Raw genomic sequence first — 20,261 nt, 5'->3', positions numbered from 1 at the left:
CACAGTGCAATCAAACTAGAACTCAGGATCCAGAAACTCGCTCAAAACTGCTCAACTACATGGAAACTGAACAACCTGCTCCTGAATGACTACTGGGTACATAACGAAATGAAGGCAGAAATAAAGATGTTCTTTGAAACAAACAAGAACAAAGACACAACATACCAGAATCTCTGGGACACTATTAAAGCAGTGTGTACAGGGAAATTTATAACACTAAATGCCCACAAGAGAAAGCAGGAAAGATCTAAAATTGACACCCTAACATCACAATTAAAAGAACTAGAGAAGCAAGAGCAAACACATTCAAAAGCTAGCAGAAGGCAAGAAATAACTAAGATCAGAGCAGAACTGAAGGAAATAGAGACACAAAAAACCCTTCAAAAAATCAATGAATCCAGGAGCTGGTTTTTTGAAAAGATCAACAAAATTGATAGACGGCTAGCAAGACTAATAAAGAAGAAAAGAGAGAAGAATCCAATAGACGCAATAAAAAATGATAAAGGGGATATCACCACCGATCCCACAGATATACAAACTACCATCAGAGAATACTACAAACACCTCCACGCAAATAAACTAGAAAATCTAGAAGAAATGGATACATTCCTGGACACATACAACCTCCCAAGACTAAACCAGGAACAAGTTGAATCTCTGAATAGACCAATAACAGGCTCTGAAATTGAGGCAATACTTAATAGCTTACCAATCAAAAAAAGTCCAGGATCAGATGGATTCACTGCCGAATTATACTAGAGGTACAAGGAGGAGCTCGTACCATTCCTTCTGAAACTATTCCAATCAATAGAAAAAGAGGGAATCCTCCCTAACTCATTTTATGTGGCCAGCATCATCCTGATACCAAAGCCTGGCAGAGACACAACAAAAAAAGAGAATTTTGGACCAATACCCCTGATGAACATCGATGCAAAAATCCTCAATAAAATACTGGCAAACCGAATCCAGCAGAACATCAAGAAGCTTATCCACCATGATCAAGTGGGCTTAACCCCTGGGATGCAAGGCTGGTTCAACATACGCAAATCAATAAATGTAATCCAGCATATAAACAGAACCAACAACAAAAACCATATAATTATCTCAACAGATGCAGAAAAGGCCTTCGACAAAATTCAACAACTCTTCATGCTAAAAACTCTCAATAAATTAGGTATTGATGGGATGTATCTCAAAATAATAAGAGCTATCCATGATAAACCCACAGCCAATATCATACTGAATGGGCAAAAACTGGAAGCATTCCCTGTGAAAACTGGCACAAGACAGGGATGCCCTCTCTCACCACTCCTATTCAACATAGTGTTGGAAGTTCTGGCCAGGGCAATCAGGCAGGAGAAGGAAATAAAGGGTATTCAATTAGGAAAAGAGGAAGTCAAATTGTCCCTGTTTGCGGAAGACATGATTGTATACCTAGAAAACCCCATTGTCTCAGCCCAAAATCTCCTTAAGCTGATAAGCAACTTCAGCAAAATCTCAGGATACAAAATCAATGTGCAAAAATCACAAGCATTCTTATACACCAATAACAGACAAATAGAGAGCCAAATCATGAGTGAACTCACATTCACAATTGCTTCAAAGAGAATAAAATACCTAGGAATCCAACTTACAAGGGACGTAAAGGACCTCTTCAAGGAGAACTACAAACCACTGCTCAATGAAATAAAAGAGGATACAAACAAATGGAAGAACATTCCATGCTCATGGGTAGGAAGACTCAATATCGTGAAGAAGGCCATACTGCCCAAGGTAATTTATAGATTCAATGCCATCCCCATCAAGCTACCAATGACTTTCTTCACAGAATTGGAAAAAACTGCTTTAAAGTTCATATGGAACCAAAAACGAGCCTGCATTGCCAAGTCAATCCTAAGCCAAAAGAACAAAGCTGGAGGCATCACGCTACCTGACTTCAAACTATACTACAAGGCTACAGTAACCAAAACAGCATGGTACTGGTACCAAAACAGAGATATAGACCAATGGAACAGAACAGATCCCTCAGAAATAATGCCACATATCTACAACCATCTGATCTTTGACAAACCTGACAAAAACAAGAAATGGGGAAAGGATTCCCTATTTAATAAATGGTGCTGGGAAAACTAGCTAGCCACATGTAGAAAGCTGAAACTGGATCCCTTCCTTATACCTTATACAAAAATTAATTCAAGATGGATTAAAGACTTAAATGTTAGACCTAAAACCATAAAACCCCTAGAAGAAAACCTAGGCAATACCATTCAGGACATAGGCATGGGCAAGAACTTGATGTCTAAAACACCAAAGCAATGGCAACAAAAGCCAAAATTGACAAATGGGATCTAATTAAACTAAAGAGCTTCTGCACAGCAAAAGAAACTACCATCAGAGTGAACAGGCAACCTACAAAATGGGAGAAAATTTTTGCAATCTGCTCATCTGACAAAGGGCTAATATCCAGAATCTACAAAGAACTCAAACAAATCTACAAGAAAAAAACAAACAGCCCCATCAAAAAGTGGGCGAAGGATATGAACAGACAGACACTTCTCAAAAGAAGACATTTATGCAGCCAAAAGACACATGAAAAAATGCTCATCATCACTGGCCATCAGAGAAATGCAAATCAAAACCACAATGAGATACCATCTCACACCAGTTAGAATGGCAATCATTAAAAAGTCAGGAAACAACAGGTGCTGGAGAGGATGTGGAGAAATAGGAACACTTTTACACTGTTGGTGGGACTGTAAACTAGTTCAACCATTGTGGAAGTCAGTGTGGCGATTCCTCAGGGATCTTGAACTAGAAATACCATTTGACCCAGCCATCCCATTACTGGGTATATACCCAAAGGATTATAAATCATGCTGCTATAAAGACACGTGCACACATATGTTTATTGTGGCACTATTCACAATAGCAAAGACTTGGAACCAACCCAAATGTCCAACAATGATAGACTGGATTAAGAAATTGTGGTACATATACACCATGGAATACTATGCAGCCATAAAAAATGATGAGTTCATGTCCTTTGTAGGGACATGGATGAAGCTGAAAACCATCATTCTCAGCAAACTATCACAAGGACAAAAAACCAAACACTGCATGTTCTTACTCATAGGTGGGAATTGAACAATGAGAACACATGGACACAGGAAGGGGAACATCACACACTGGGGCCTGTTGTGGGGTGGGGGGAAGGGGGAGGGATAGCATTGGGAGATATAACTAATGTTAAATGATGAGTTGATGGGTGCAGCACACCAACATGGCACATGTATACATATGTAACTAACCTGCACGTTGTGCATATGTACCCTAAAACTTAAAGTATAATTAAAAAAACAAAAAAACAAAAAAACTTTGTGATGTCTCTCTTGTAAAATTCTCCCTTCCCTTATCTATATTTTGTAACTGTATTTCTTTTCTAATTCATTTCCTTTCAGTTTAGAGAGGTTTGATGAGGGAGTAGAGATCAATGCATGAGTCCAATATGCCCCCATTTTACTGGAAATTCTCTTCATTGATTAGTTAACTAAACTAACTAAAATTAACCAGCATATTCATAACACTAAAATTATCACTAATTATTTATAATTTTATGGTATCCTTAAAATTTTACAATGCAGTTTTTTTTTACATGTTTTGTATTTTAAGCTTGTTTTTCTGGAATTAATTTTCAGAGTTATATATTATTTCTGCTTTGATTTGCTGGCATTATTCTAGGCTTCTCTATATATCTATATTTATTTCAGTAACTACCTTAGGCAGTTACTTTGGAATTTTAATGTGAGCACTGTTTGGTGTGGTTTTTGAAAATGCCTTAAGCGCTTCCTATACGTTTCTTGTCAGTAGATATTTTTGCGGATTTAATTTAGTTGTCTTTTCTAAACCAAGATTTCTGGATTAGGACCTCTGCTGTTTTAGTCCATGCTATTTCTCTATTAAATGGTTGCAGGCTAACCACACATGGGCTAGAATGTGAAACGAGAGATAAGACAGGGAGCATATAGTAGAACTTAATAAATATTTGCATGTGATTGCTTGAAGCTAGCAATGAGTTCATGGCTCACAAACTTTATAAGAAACAAATCATATTAATTTCAGAATATACACATACTTCTAGTGTTTTATAGAGTTTTATGTTAGCCATTGAATTTTACTGTTGTATGGAGAGCAGTATTATTCTTTCTATAAAAGACACACTACAATAACAACACATCTGATGCCTAGATAATATATGATGAAGGAAAAAAATCAATCTTCCAAATAGGTATTGACTGCTAATCATTAACAGAAATAGCTATGTCACATATCTGGCATAAGGAAGGAGGATTCTCTATAAATACAATACTTCTACAAGGATTTTATTGTTATGTGATGAGCAGAAGGGGGAATTCAGAAATAATGTGACAAAAATAATTCAGAAATAAGGTGACAACATATAAACACATTTTATCTAGATAATAACCAAAACAATTATATTTATTTACATTTTATTATCTCACCATAAAAATATTTATTTGAAAATATATCTAGACACTGTTTAATATTGAGCAATGCCAAACATTTTGTATAAATTATTTGTCACAATAATTTGTTGCATAGATGTAGCCTTAACTATTTGACATTAAGTGCAGATGTTTCTATTTTACTGTAAATATTTATATTTCAAAACCAGCTTGATCCATTCTGTTTTACATTGTGGCTAATAATCTAATTTGAACTACTTTTTACTCATACGAAGTATGTGGGGAGATCATAATGACTTTCTAGGATACTCTGTTGCCCATTGCCTCTTAAATGCTGCTCGTTTTTGTTTACTTGTTTGTTGAGATCTTAACACTATGAAGCTTTTTAAAATCTTTGTCTCTTTCTCATTCTCCTGCATTATCCTGTTTTTGGAATATCTCACTATTTTCAGTCACAACACCCCACCAAATTCACTTGATTTTATATATTATACTACATCCGCCTGAAAGGCAATTTCTTCTATTTAATTGACATGAAAAACTCATGTACTGTCATCACTGAAACAGAAAATGAAAATTTAAATTAGTATTGATTATATACATAGTACCCAAAATACCTTATTTTTATTTAAGGTTAAAGGGTATATCTCACATACACTTCTTCTTTTCTGACATTTCAAACTAATGGGAGGGATACTACATTTCTCATCTTTCAATTCCTTTCTTCAGAACCCTTTGGTCCTTTTTGATTTTCTCTCAATACTTTTGACACTGACAAAATCATCTTTTCAGGTTCATCTTTTTTCACTGTTTTTTTTTTTGGCCATATTTCATAGTTAACCCTCATTCCTACTGTTCCTTAAATCCTTTCCTTGTACTTGTTTATTAATGTATATTAAAAGTTTGTTTTCATGCATATTGTGTGATAATATCCTATCTCGGTTTCTTAATCACACGTTTTTTATAATATGTTTCCTACTTCATGATCTTTTCCTTTGAATTATTTTTTATATCTTGTATTTTCCTTTCATGTGAGCTAAAAGAATCCCCCAAGCTTCTAACATATAACCTGCTTTATTCTCCCATTTTACCGGTGGATGCATTCAAGTTTAGCCACCATTTTTATGGTGCTGATTCTCATAACACTATTTGTCCATTTAATCATGCTTGGATTATTGTATCTATTTCTGAGCCCTGGATTTACAAAAAGGTATTAACAAACTAGAATATGTCTGGAGAGGATGATTAAACTGATTGAATTCTCCTAAACCATGTCCTATACTAAATGGCTGAAGGAATTGTGTATATTTATTGTTTATCCTGGAGTAAAAAAGATTAAGTGTAGACAGGATAATTGTTTTCAATAATTCGAAAGTGTTTCATGTAAAGGAGAGAACAGATTTGTTATGAGTTGTTCTAGAAAGCTCAACTAGAACAACCAGTACAAGTTATAAACAGATAGGTTCAAATATTCTCTAATGAAGATCAGGTATTAAATCTTACTCATTCTGGCTTTGCCACATTGTCTAGCACAGGGCCTTAATCATATCTGGGCCTAATAGGTGTTTATTGATTGATTTGAATTGGCATGAATGGAAAGAATAAACCTCTCTAGCAGTAAAAATAGACTGTCTTTTGAAGTAACAGTATCCAATCTTTCAACAAAGAATTATTCATTACCTACAATGTAGCTGTCCCTGTGCTAAGCATCTGGAATATAAAGATACTAACATCTTAATATTGTAGATCATTTCTATGGGCAAAGCATTCTTCTAAATATTTTTCATGTACTAACTTATTTTGCAGCAGCCTTTTATGGTAGGGGCTTTTATTATCCCCAATTTAGATGTAACTGAAGCACATAGAGGTTACTTCTTTTTTTTTTTTTTTTTTTTAACTTTTGAAACAGTCTCACTCTGTTGCCCAGGTTGAAGTGCAATGCTGTGACCTTGGCTCACTGCAACCTCCACCTCCCAGGCTCAAGGGATTCTCATGCTTCTGCCTCCCGAGTAGCTGGAATTACAGGAGCGCACTACCATGCCAGCTAATTTTTGTATTTTTAGTAGAGACAGGGTTTCACCATGTTGGCCAGGCTGGTCTCAAACTCCTGATCTGAAGTGATCCACTCACCTCAGCCTCCCAAAGTGCTGGGATTACAGGCATGAACCACCACACCCGACCACATAGAGGTTACATAATGAGCTGTGTCACAAAGCTAGTAAGTGGTCAAGTTGTGATTTGAATTCAGGCAGTCAGGCTCCAGAATCTGCATACCGAACCGCTGTGATAAACCTCCTCCAAGAACAAGGCAAGATGTGCATATAAACCAAAGGACAGAAAGATTTTTATATTGGACTATAATCTAGTATAGTTCTTTTCTGGTGATTCCCTGGCCAATGGCTAATCTGTTGACTTGAATGCCTGTGGTCTTCTTTATTTTCAGTCAGCTTGCACACCACATCCGGGTGATCTTCCCCAAAAGTAAAGCTGATCATTCCACTCCCTTGTCCACAGCACAAATCTATTCATTCTTCTTGTCCACAGAACAAATGTAATCACCATAATTTAGACACCAAGGCCCTCTGCAGTCTGTCTCCACCCATACCTCTTACCTCATCTCTCCCTGAACTCTGAATTTGACCATGTGCTTAAATGATATTTCTTGTCTGAAAAGAAAACAAGGTTATTGTGAAAATTAAGTTAAATAATCAATATAAAATGCTTAGAGTAGTAGCACCGAGAATATAACTGCTTAAGAAATATTAGCATATTTATTATCATTTATTTCTGATTATCATGCAAAAAATGCTGTACCCTAACTATAGCTTATTTTTAGTTCCCTCACTATACCTTAAAATTGCCTCATAATAAAATTGAGAAATAAAAATGTATTGGCTTGCCTAATTTACAAATTCAGAGGCAGGGTGGGTCTAGTTGGGGTCCAGTCAGAGCTTTTCCTCTGTTTCTCTACAGGTTTCTCAGCTTAGCCTCCTCTGTGCCAGCTTATTTTTCAGACTGGCTTCCATCAAGGCAGCCAGAGAGCTGCCAGCAACAGCAGGAACTACATGCTTTCTTATTCACATTCACTAGGACATAAAATATTACTTCCCATAACCATCCAACTGAGGCTCTGAGCTTCATTCTCAGATCACCTGCAAAATAATCACTGCAGCCTGGGAAGCCCTGAGTCACCTGGTGTAGTGGGTTGAATGGTGACCCCAAAAAGATATGTCCACATTCTAACACCCAGAATCTGTGATTTTATTTGGTAAAAGAGTCTTTGCTGATGTAATTAAGTTAAGGATCTCAAAATGAGATCATGCCAGATTAGCTGGATGGGCCCTAAATCTAAGGACAAGTATCTTTATAAGATACAGGACAGAAGAGAAGGCACACACACACACACACACACATACACACACACACACACACACAGAGAGAGAGAGAGAGAGAGAAAGACAGAGAGAGACAGAGACAGAGACAAAGAGAAAGCAAGAGAGAGGAAAAGGCCATGTGAAGTGGGAGGCAGAGACTAGATCTACGCAACCACATACCTAGAGCCACCAGAAACCTAAAGAGGCAAGGAGGATTCTGTCCTTGCCTCCAAGGGGAGTGTGGCCCTAATCACACCTTGATTTCAGACATCTGGCCTCCAGAACTGTAACAGAATACATTTCTGTTGTTTTAAGCCACCATATTTGTGGTAATTTATGGCTGCCACAGGAAACTAATATAAGTGGTCATTCCCGAACCAACTATTTTGACAAGGAGCATAGGATGACACTGTTGGGATTACACTATTTCAGGCCCATGGCTGGAGCTGGAGGTGGGGGCAATCCATTCTAAACTGTGTAACTTCCACACACAGGAGCAGAATGGATATTAGAGCAGCAACACAGCACCCACTTCGGTATTCTTTAATTCCACTTCCTGCTTATAACCTGCTCGTTTCTATTGGTTACAGCACAATGGATCCCAATCATGGTCTTTATTCAAGAGCTTTATTCAGCACTTCTTAGTTTACATGATTAATTACGACAACTAAAACTTGATCATCTCATTTGAGTTGCTAACTGACTTACCCAATCCATAGTTATCTTAGCTCATCAGACACATCCCTCACTGATAACTCCTTCAAGTCATCTTAGATATGACCACCCAAATTACCATTTTTTTGTACCACCGCAGAAAAATCCCAGGACTCCAAAAATTTTTTAAAAGGCTCCCTTTAAAATCTTCTATCTCTATCTACATTGGTCTCTTTAATAAATTATAATTTGAGTCCAGATGTACCTTACATGTTACTTAATGCAATGATGATTCTCAACATATGTTGGTTAACATTGATCCTGATGATGCTTAACTGGCATGTAAGTGCATGCTGCATATTCTTGTGACTATGTGTAAACAAATGTCAAATATGATATTTTTCTTTCACTCAAATTTAGTGCTTTGAAATTCTTTAAAACTTTGAAATCTTTAGAATGGGGAACAAGCAGACTTGAGGGATGGGATGAACAAATCATTTTGCAATAACCTCTGTGTTTTTTCACTCTTTAATGCAAATGTGTACAAAGGCCTTTGGTTTTAGCTTGTGCAGTCTAAAGATAGACTATTGTTGCTTAAAATGAAAAAAAAAAGACTCTACACTGAATACTAGAATGTAAAATATGAGTTTAAAACTTTTTCTTCTAAAACAAAGAATATAAGGGCAAAGGGTTGTCTTGCTAAAAATTTTAATTATAATTAAGTCTTAATCACAACAGCTAAAAGTAGAAGACACCTGTTAAATAAATTATAGAGAAAATCAAAGCAACAAGATGTATAAGGAAGCACCTATAAATTAGTGTCTAGAAAAAGGATATATTTCTGTGTTCTGTATGACAAAACACAGTGAGCAGTTGAGTTATTACAGGAATAGCCCATGAAACACTGCATCTGAGAAACCATTTGAAAAATATGTGAAAAAATCCCAGAAGGATTTTACCCATTCAAAGCAACTTTACTACTGTCTTCCTTCAAAATGATACTTTGCAAATGGCATTGTACTGTGTTCGTTTTCTTTGCTGCTATAACAGATTATCACAAATTTGGTGGCTTAAAACAATGCAAATGCATTATCTTACAGTTCTGTAGGTCAGAAGTCTGACAGGGGCTAAAATTAAGGTGTCAGCAGGACTGCGGTCCCTTCTGTAGCTCTGGGTAGAATCTGTTTCCTTGTCTTTTTTAGCTGCTAGAGGCCACCTACATTCCCTAGCTCATGGTTCCCTTTCTTTATCCCCCAAATGAACAAAGGTGATTCCAGTCGTTCTTAATATCACATCACTCTGACTTCCTCCTCTGCCTCACTCTTCCATTCTTCAAGACTCTGTGATTACATGGGGTCCACCCAGATGATCCAGAATGATCTCCCTATATTAAGTTGGCCTATTAGCAAACTTCATTCCGTCTGCAAACTCAATTCTCCATTGCCATGTAATGTCACATATTCACAGCTTCCAGTGATTAGGGGGTGGACCTTTTGGGAGACTCATTATTCTGCTTGCCACATACACCATTGTCAAATTCCTGGTCTTGGTAACTGTACTGTGCTTACGTGAGGTGTTATCCTTTGAGGAAACTGGATAAAAGGTATGCAGGGACTCTGTGATATTTTTACAACATCTATGTAAGTCTAAAATTATCTCAAAATCAAAGTTTAAACAATCCCACTTTTTTGGAGAATTGAGTGAAAACATATAGAAATGATTACAAAATTTCAGGAATTACACAGTATTAAAATAGATTAAAATGGGGTTATTTAACTACTAAACTAGTAAATGAAATAATAAATGATAAAGGTCACATTCTTCATTTAATTAAAAACAATTTAGTAAATATTTACTATTTATGGTTGTTACACATTTTACAAAGACTTATATGAGTACCATCTCAGTTTCTTTCCCTTTAAATAAACCAAGGCCCATAATTGACTAAATATCATTAAACTACATACCACAGTTTAATTTCACTATGGTTGATAGAAACAATACATTTTCAAAACGTTTATGTGCCTACCAAGCCTATCAAATGAAAATCTAAACCCCTTAAGCCAATTTATACTAAGGTGCTTTATAATAAATTTCATACTGTTTTTATAGTTTTCTAAAAGACCATCACATTCTGTTTTACTTAATATTTTGTAAAGCTGTTGGATACATAGGGTAGATTTTATTGACCTGTTCTTACAGACAAAGAAAACTAGGATTGAAAAGTTACATGAAGGTTTCTGGTCAAGAAAGACAAGTGTATTTATATTTGGGTATTCTAGTCTGCTCACTAAACAAACCAAAGTCAGATAAAATTTAAAAATGAAAAAACAGGAAGACATAACCAGGACTCAAAATCAAGAACAGAAGTAAACTAACAAAAATGGTGAAATGGGCTGAAACTGTAGTAAGCCTGTTAGACTTTAAATTTGGAAGCTGCTGGAACAGCTAGAAGATTAACTCCTAAGTAAGAGCTGGGAGGCAGGCTCATTGATTGAAGACAAGGACAGGGACTAAGGTGCCAATCTATGCCCCAGTGAGAAAGAAGGTGGAAGTAAAAGAATGGTAGCAATCTCCACCTGAAGCTGTAATGTTTAGAATGTGCTAGGCTTAGAGAACCAGACTCAGACACAGACACAGAAGTGCTGGAAAACCAGCTAATCTCCAGGCTAACTCTCTTGCCTGCACTAGTACCAATGTCACTCTGGCTCAGGGGACACCAAGCCAATGATGGGAAAACTTAGCTCTGAAAAAGAGCCCAAAGAGCATTTTAGAGATAACTGCAAAGTTGTTTGATAAGGAAGGAAGTGACAAAGAGAAAAAGAAGATAAAGAGAAAGAAAAAAAAAAAATCAAAAAGCCTTTCACTAAAATGAATGTAAACATCAGAATTTAAAATAAAGAAATAAATCTAATGCTAAGAAAGAGAGGCCACAATACTACAAGCAAAATGTAACTTTTATATTGCAGTCTGACAAAAACTTAGATATATATTTTAAATATGCAAAGAGATAAAGGATGATTTTCAATTAAAGGATATATAACTTGAAAAGCAAAGAAAAATGAAACTTGAACAAGTGAATATGAAATAAGTAGGAACAGAATATTAGAAATGAAAAATACGGCATTAGGAAAACACAACAGGCAAAATAAACACTAAGATATAGATAAAGACAGAGAAATTGCTAAGTTGCAAAATGGCTCAGAAGAATTTACCCAGATTACAGCTTAAGAAAAAAGGAATGTTTTAAAATAAATGGCAGAGCAGTTGAAAACCTTGTGAGGTATATTGAAAGGCCTCAACATTTAGTAAGAGTTTCAGAAAAATACAATGTAAAAAGAAAAAAAAAAAAAAGCTGAAAATAGTTTGTACAGACAACTTCAGCAATCCCATTACGGGATATATACCCAGTAATATAAATCACTCTATCATAAAGACACATGCACATGTTTGTTCATTGCAACACTATTCACAATAGCAAAGACATGGAATTGACCTAAACGCCCATCAGTGATACAATGGATAAAGAAAATGTGGTACGTCTATACCGTGGAATACTATGCAGCCATGAAAAAGAATGAGATCATGTCCTTTGTGGAAACATGGATGGAGCTAGAGGCCATTATTAGACTTCGTGTCTAAAACACCAAAAGCAATGGCAACAAAAGCTAAAATTGACAAATGGGATCTAATTAAACTAAAGAGCTTCTGCACAGCAAAAGAAACTACCATCAGAGTGAACAGGCACCTACAGAATGGGAGAAAATTTTTGCAACCTACTCATCTGACAAAGGGCTAATATCCAGAATCTACAATGAACTCAAACAAATTTACAAGAAAAAAACAAACAACCCCATCAAAAAGTGGGTGAAGGATATGAACAGACACTTCTCAAAGGAAGACATTCATGCAGCCAAAAAACACATGAAAAAATGCTCATCATCACTGGCCATCAGAGAAATGCAAATCAAAACCACAATGAGATACCATCTCACACCAGTTAGAATGGCGATCATTAAAAAGTCAGGAAACAACAGATGCTGGAGAGGATGTGGAGAAACAGGAACACTTTTACACTGTTGATGGAACTGTAAACTAGTTCAACCATTGTGGAAGTCAGTGTGGCGATTCCTCAGGGATCTAGAACTAGAAATACCATTTGACCCAGCCATCCTATTACTGGGTATATACCAAAAGGATTATAAATCATGCTGCTATAAAGACACATGCACATGTATGTTTATTGTGGCACTATTCACAATAGCAAAGACTTGGAACCAAGCCAAATGTCCAACATTGATAGACTGGATTAAGAAAATGTGGCACATATACACCATGGAATACTATGCAGCCATAAAAAAGGATGAGTTCATGTCCTTTGTAGGGACATGGATGAAGCTGGAAACCATCATTCTCAGCAAACTATCACAAGGACAAAAAACCAAACACCGCATGTTCTCACTCATAGGTGGGAATTGAACAATGAGAATACATGGACACAGGAAGGGGAACATCACACACGGGGGACTGTTGTGGGGTGGGGGGAGGGGGGAGGGATAGCTTTAGGAGATACACCTAATGCTAAATGACGAGTTAATGGGTGCAGCACACCAACATGGCACATGTGTACATATGTAACAAACCTGCATGTTGTGCACATGTACCCTAAAACTTAAAGTATAATAATAATAAAATTAAAAAAAAAGAAAATGTGGTACGTCTATACCATGGAATACTATGCAGCCATAAAAAGGAATGAGATCATGTCCTTTGTGGAAACGTGGATGGAGCTAGAGGCCATTATCCCTAGCAAACTAACCCAGGAACAGAAAACCAAATACTGCATGTTCTCAGTTATAAGTAGGTGCTCAATGATGAGAACATGTGGACACATAGAGGAGAACAGCAGACACTGGAGCCTATCAGAGGGTGGAATTTGGGAGGATGGAGAGGGTCAGGAAAAATAACTAATGAGTACCAGGCTTAATACCTGGGTGACAAAATAATCTGTACAACAAACCCCTGTTACGTGAGTTTATTTAACAAATCTGGATTTATATCCCTGAACTTAAAAGTAAAAAAAAAAAAAAAAGAAATAGTATAGTATTGAATCAATAGAACAGAATAGTGTCCAGATAAACACACACATATTAGGTGATCACTGTAGGGGTTTACAGAGGAAGGTGTCACTGAGAAAAGACGTAGAGGATAAGATCGGACTGGGGAGGTGTTGATGGAGTTGCGTTTCACCAGAACCTGGAAAAGATAGAGGCAAAAGTGAGGACTCCTGTTTTTCAGAGACAGAGGCAAAGATGTGTGGGTGTGGACCAATGAAGGTAAACATGTAAGGGTTAGTAGTAAACGGAGGGAGTTCATCCCTGCTGGTCTCGGTTTACTCAGAGAGTGGGAAGGAGATAGAGGATGGTGTAGCTGCTACCGGAGGGGAGAAAGAGTGGGCTACCAACACTCATCTGGGAACAGCAAGCCCCCGACTCCTGGTTTCTTTTCTGCTAAACTGCCTGCATCATTTGGTCCAAACCGACATTCCCCAAAACCCCACCACTCCTTCCTTAAAATCATAAATGTCTGCTGGGTGCGGTGGCTCACACCTGTAATCCCAGCACTTTGGGAGGCCGAGGCAGGCGGATCACCTGAGGTCGGGAGTTGGAGACTAGCCTGACAAACACGGAGAAACCCCGTATCTACTAAAAATACAAAAAAATCAGCCGGGTGTGGTGGTGCATGCCTGTAATCACAGCTAATGGGGAGCCTGAGGCAGGAGAATCCCTTGAACCCAGGAGGTGAAGGTTGTGGTGAGCTGAGATCGTACCATTGCACTCCAGCCTGGGCAACAAGAGTGAAACTCCATCTCAAAAAAATAAAAATAAAAAAATAAATGTCTGCTAAACTGGGAAACTCATAATTTAATTTATGTGAATTGTCTTCAGCAAGTAATTTATTGCTATACTTAAGTCCCAAAATACTTCCGTTTGTAGCCACAATTATTTAAAAAAATAATTTTTAAACTTTTGGAAAAGAGATGACAGAATGAAATAATTATATTTCTTTTCATAATTGTTAGAGATAAATAAAAAGATATGCAAATGAAAATATTTTTAACAAAGAAACATCGACCCTATCTTTTAGTATTTCTCCATGTTTCTTCATTTGGAGGTTAGGACTAAGGATTTACAAATACAACTATAAAAAGTATCAATTACCTGTATTTTGTTATTGGAGCTCCAAATTCAGTTCAATGCAACAAGTTTTTAAGTACCTTTTAGGCTCAAGATATTCTGTTTATGGGAAGGGAGAAGAAGGAGTTGTACAAAATACAGGAAGCCTTTGGCTGTAGAAATGTATAATGCTCGTACATAAAGCAGCATTATTCCAAGTAATTTAAATCTCCAGTAGTCTGCACTTTTTCCGCAGGCTTGGAGATAGATATATGATCTCCAAATAGGTGTGTTTTCCCATCACAGCTGACCTTCAGGTTTGCTTAAAGCAATCCTGCTGCTCCTACCACCTCACCTTTGTTTAATGAGAGCCATTTCCTAACGCCAACGTTGGGTTAATGGACTGAGATGGGAGAAAATCAAACATATCTCTCCATTTTACACCAGATTGCCTTTCTGCCTTGTGGCTTTAATCACTCAATCCTACTCACATCTGCCATAATAACAATTATGGGTTTTCTACTGCTTTCTCACCCAGGAGGATATGTCAGAGGATAGTAACATCTCCTGAAGAAAGGAAGGGCAAATTCTTAATCTTTTTCCAGCATCGTAGGTAATAATTTTCCTCTGCAAACCCCCGAGGAGTACTCCTTTTGGCTCTTACTCCCACCGTTCCCACAGGTTCGTGGCTCTGCTTGGATTTATGAGTTTTCTTCTAGCCTTTTCTCTTCTGAGATAAGTTTTAATTATGTAGACAGATTGTAAAAGTCTCTTTCTTCTTGTAAACAACTATTTCTTTGTTAGTACTAGATTTTGTTTAACTGGTTTCCTCCTTTCTGAATCTTCTTATGTACCCAGGAATTATGTCTGTTCATTGTTTAATGGCAGCATCAAGAGAAGAGAAAGCTGGCTTCATTTCATAGCTTCCCTTGAGGGATTCAATTTGGAACACCTCAAATTGCAAGTCTCCCTCGGGAACTGTTCTTTGTTACATATGTTTGGAAGCCCATAATATTTTAGTTTAGATTCAATATAAGAGCAAAGTATCACCCATCAAATAAGCAGTATGATAATACTCTCGGCTCTTCTACTTATTTAAAAACTTTCTTTACTACCTGAATCAAGGAAATGTCTGAAATCCTCAAAAGCACTAGTGAAATGTTAAACAGTTGCCCCTTCCTCAGAGAACTCAGAGAACTGGATTTGAGAAAGCATCTTAGGTAGCGCTGACAAACAGCTCTTACCCTGGCCCCTTCCAGGTCAGAGTTAAAATATAAAGAAGAATAACTATTCAGGCCAGGGGCAGTGGCTCACGCCTGTAATCCCAGCACTTTGGGAGGCTGAGGCGGGAGGATCGCCTGAGGTCAGGAGTTCAAGACCAGCCTGGCCAACATGGTGAAACTCCATCTCTACTAAAATACAAAAATTAGTCGGGTGTGGCTCAGCTAATTCTAGCTACTTGGGAGGCTGAGGCAGGAAAATCGCTTGAACCTAGGAGGTGGAGGTTGCGGCGAGCCAAGATTGCGGCACTGCACTCCAGCCTGGGCGACAGAGTGAAACTCCACCACAAAAAAATAATAAACAAAACAAACAAACAAACAAACGGAAAAGAAGTATTCATGACATGATATTTTTCTCATTTTGCATAAGAACTTTTAACTATTTGGTGGGTTTTTTTTTCTAATCAAGAAATCATTCTAATTACTTAATACATTCACTTCTAATTCTGAATTCTTACATTATCTTTGAAGCTCATTTGTTTGAGAACTGGTTTTTTATTTTGTATTTTTTTTTGAGACACGATCTTGCTGTGTTGCCCAGGGTGGAGTACATTGGCACAGTCACAGCTCACTGCAGCCACAACCTTTCAGGCTCAAGGGAAATGCCAGCCAGCCTTAAGGACTGTAGAAACGCAGGGTTGACAGGAGGGCTCCCATTGAGTCATCTCTTGTTCTGATTTCTGAGGTCATTTTTTGAGCTCCTTTAAGAGATGAGGAATTCTATCACCACAAAGTTAAATGTGGTATCATGGATATCAGCTACAGTTTTTTTGTTTTTGTTTTTTATTTATTTATTTATCTATTTATTTGAGACAGAGTCTCGCTCTGTTGCCTAGGCTGAAGCGCAGTGGCCTGATCATGGCTCACTGCAGCCTCCACCATTCTGGGCTCAAGTGATCCTCCTACCTCAGGCTTTCCAGTATCTGGGACTAGAGGCCCATGGCACCACGCTGGGCTAATTTTAAAATCTATTTTATTTTTTGTAGAGACAGGGTTTCACCATGCTGCTCAGGTTGGTCTTGAACTCTTGAGGTCAAGCAGTCCTCCAGCCTCAGCCTTCCAAAGTGTTAGGATTACAGGCATGAGCCACCTCGCCAGCCCTGAAAATTGGTTTTGCCAAGAATACCTAAATATTATCCTTTAACCAGACAAGCAATTTCCCACAGCAGTTTTTAACTTTTAACTGGCACCCCATAAAACACCTCTTAGGCAAAATCAATATTTTCCATCAAAGACTCTCCTCAAATATTTTGAGGCAATGGAATAGAAGAGATAACTTTTTGATGCAGCAATGTGCATGATATCTTCACATTTAAGAAACATTTATTCGGCTCACCCAGAGGGGTTGTGTTCTGTGGCCAAGGAACTGAGCCAGGGTTTCTGGCCAGCGTTAGATACAAAGCCGTGACCTTGGCCCCATTAGCCGGGCTGCTAACTAGGTGAGCTCACCACACGGCTTACTGCATACTTGTGTGGCAGTTCATTGGGAACAGGGATTCTTTTTGTTTGTTTGTTTTTTCTATTTTTATTTTTATTTTATTTTACTTTAAGTTCTGGGATACACGTGCAGAACGTGCAGGTTTGTTACATAGGTATACATGTGCCATGGTGGTTTGCTGCACCTATCAACCCGTCATCTAGGATTTAAGCTCCGCATACATTAGGTATTTGTCCTAATGCTCTCCCTCCCCTTGCCCCCCATCCCCCAAGAGGCCCTGGTGTGTGATGTTCCCCTCCCTGCATCCACGTGTTCTCACTGGGGAACAGGGATTCTTAATGTGGGTTTCAGTGAAGGTACATGAACACTTTGGCATTTTATGTAAGATTTTGTAAATCTTTTCTAAAGAGAGGGCTCACATTTTCATCAGATTCTCAAAAAAGGATGCAATTTTTTTAAAAAAAATAAAAGGTTAAGGTTATATTAAACGAGATTGTTCTAAAAGAAAATCTGTTCAGTATTTTTAAAAAAATAAAATAGCTCTTTATTACTGAGGTAGATTTCTGTAATCTGAGGTAGATTTCAGTAATTTCATGTTATTGTGGGAGGGGTCCTTGAACCCTGACCTTTTATTATTTATCTTTTTATGCCTCTGAAGGATTTTAAATGTGCTCTTTAAATTGGAGAAATCTGTTACTTTATATGAGAGAAAAATGATATTACACCTTCAATTTTTGAACTTTATATATTCTTAAGACAGGAGGTGATTTTTCCTTACATTCTACAAGCATGTTTTTCAAAACCCGTCCTTTAACAACCCATTCTGTTATTCTTCCTACTTGCAATTATTTTAAGGTATCCCAAACCTTACTTTACACTTTACAATACAGGAGGACTTAAGTCTGGCCAGACTTTGCCTAACTAAATGTTAGGATGTTACTTATTAACTGTAGGATAATACATTCCTTAGATAAGATAAAAGTATGCAATAGAAAATTGCCATTCTAGGAACACCTACTACAGTCTTTTCTGTCTTCAGAGCATTAGTGTGCACATTAAGTCTTCAGCCTTGTTGAGATAGTGAATATTTATGCCGTATTTGAGAATTAATATTAGCAGAAATGTACAATGTAGATTTCTTTTTAAAATTCTAGGTTACTTTATGGAATTGGGCTCTTAGAGAACAAGAAAAGACTGAAGTTTTACGGGAAAACAAATCATGTGGTCTTCAGATTCTGAAATAAGGAGAAATGCAGCCATCTGAAATGGTCATGAACCCCAAACAAGTCTTCCTCTCTGTGCTGATATTTGGAGTAGCTGGGCTACTCCTCTTCATGTATTTGCAAGTCTGGATTGAAGAACAACATACAGGTAACACATGTGCTTTTTCTTCTATTTTAATTGTAACAATAATAGCTATTTTTAAATTAAATTAGTTGTGATGCTTATTAATATATTGAGAATCACAATATTTTCAACAACAAAAAATGAGTCATAAGATAAAATTCCCAGCTCCTAAAAGGAAGGAAAATTATACAACTCTGGTAGGCATTTGTTTGGTGGCTTAACAATGGAAATTTTTGTTATCTCAGTGGGGGAATAGCAGTGCTCCCACAGTCCAGCAAGAACTGCTTGTAGAGAATTTGTCTCCAAAAGTATAGCATTTATCCTACTTCTTATCTGTCCATGGAGCATCAGGCATAAGCCTAAAAGGCCCTGAATGTACAGCAGCCTCTCCTTTAATTCTGTCTTAATTTATATTGATACTCAAAATTGGTATAAATATCATTTAATACCTTTATTATAAAGGAGGGGTTGGCAAATCTTTTCTATAAAGGACTAGATCATAAATGTTTTACTCTTTGCAGGCCATACCATCTCTACCACAACTACTCAATTCTGCTAATATATCAAGAAGCAGCCATAGATTACATGTAAACAAATGGAACAGGCTGTGTTCCAATAAAACTTTATTTACAAAAACAGCTGGTGGGCCAGATTTGGTCCACAGGCAATAGTTTACTGATCCCTGCTGTGCTCATCTTGTACTTTTGTCTTTCAATTTGCAATTGCTGCCCATTGGAGGCACTCACTTACTGTTAAAAATGATTATATTTATAATGATATAGTATTATTAAAGTAAAAAACTTAGAATATCATAGAAATGTATACATACAGATCTTGTGAAGTTCTGATGGTTTCCATTGGTAGAAATAGACTATGGCTTATGACTGTTAAGGATAATAAAGTAAAAGCAGAAGAATGATTTTTTGATTGTCTCCAGTTGTGGCCCATTTTCTTTTTTTTTTTTTTTTTTAAGTTATTCTAGATATAAAACCCTTAAGAATCTTCTCCAAAAGACAATTTAATACTGAGTTACAACTATGATTATTTTTAAAATTGTTTCCATTTTTAAATTCCTTTCTTTGGTTTATCCTCCTACTTTTTTTTTTTTTTTTTTTTTTTTTGAGTCGGGATTTTACTCCTGTCGCCCAGGCTGGAGAGCGATAGCATGATCTTGGCTCACTGCAACCTCTGCCTCCCAGGTTCAAGTGATTCTTCTGCCTCAGCCTCCCAAGTAGCTGGGTCTACAGGCACAAACCACTGCACCCGGCTAATTTTTGTATTTTTTGTAGAGACGGGGTTTCACCATGTTGACCAGGCTGGTCTATTTTGTTGTTGTTTGTTTGTTTTTGAGACAGAGTCTTGCTCAGTCGCCTAGGCTGGAGTGCAGTGGCGCGATCTCAGCTCACTGCAAGCTCCGCCTGCTGGGTTCACGCCATTCTCCTGCCTCAGCCTCCCAAGTAGCTGGGACTACAGGCGCCCGCCACCACGCCCGGCTAATTTCTTTTTTT

The 20,261-nt window shown here is 37.3% G+C and overlaps 1 protein-coding gene across 4 annotated transcripts in view; it reads left to right on the top strand.

Moving 5' to 3' along the window:
- CHST9 (carbohydrate sulfotransferase 9) overlaps positions 1–20,261 on the top strand; it is a 278,828-nt gene that overhangs the window by 23,843 nt on the left and 234,724 nt on the right. For 3 of the 4 annotated variants that reach the window (NM_001256316.2, NM_031422.6, XM_006722555.5), the window contains exon 2: positions 18,561–18,777. In NM_001256316.2, coding sequence (NP_001243245.1) covers positions 18,657–18,777 — 121 coding nt within the window. In that variant the 5' untranslated portion in view covers positions 18,561–18,656. Of the gene's footprint in view, positions 1–18,425; positions 18,778–20,261 lie in introns of those variants that run through there. The other variant, NM_001398493.1, reaches the window with a different exon arrangement.

Source organism: Homo sapiens, chromosome 18 (genome assembly GCF_000001405.40).
Source record: "Homo sapiens chromosome 18, GRCh38.p14 Primary Assembly".
Classification (NCBI taxonomy): Eukaryota; Metazoa; Chordata; class Mammalia; order Primates; family Hominidae; genus Homo; species Homo sapiens.
The sequence above is the reverse complement of the archived record's forward strand: the minus strand, read 5'-3'. Positions and strand labels throughout refer to the sequence as shown.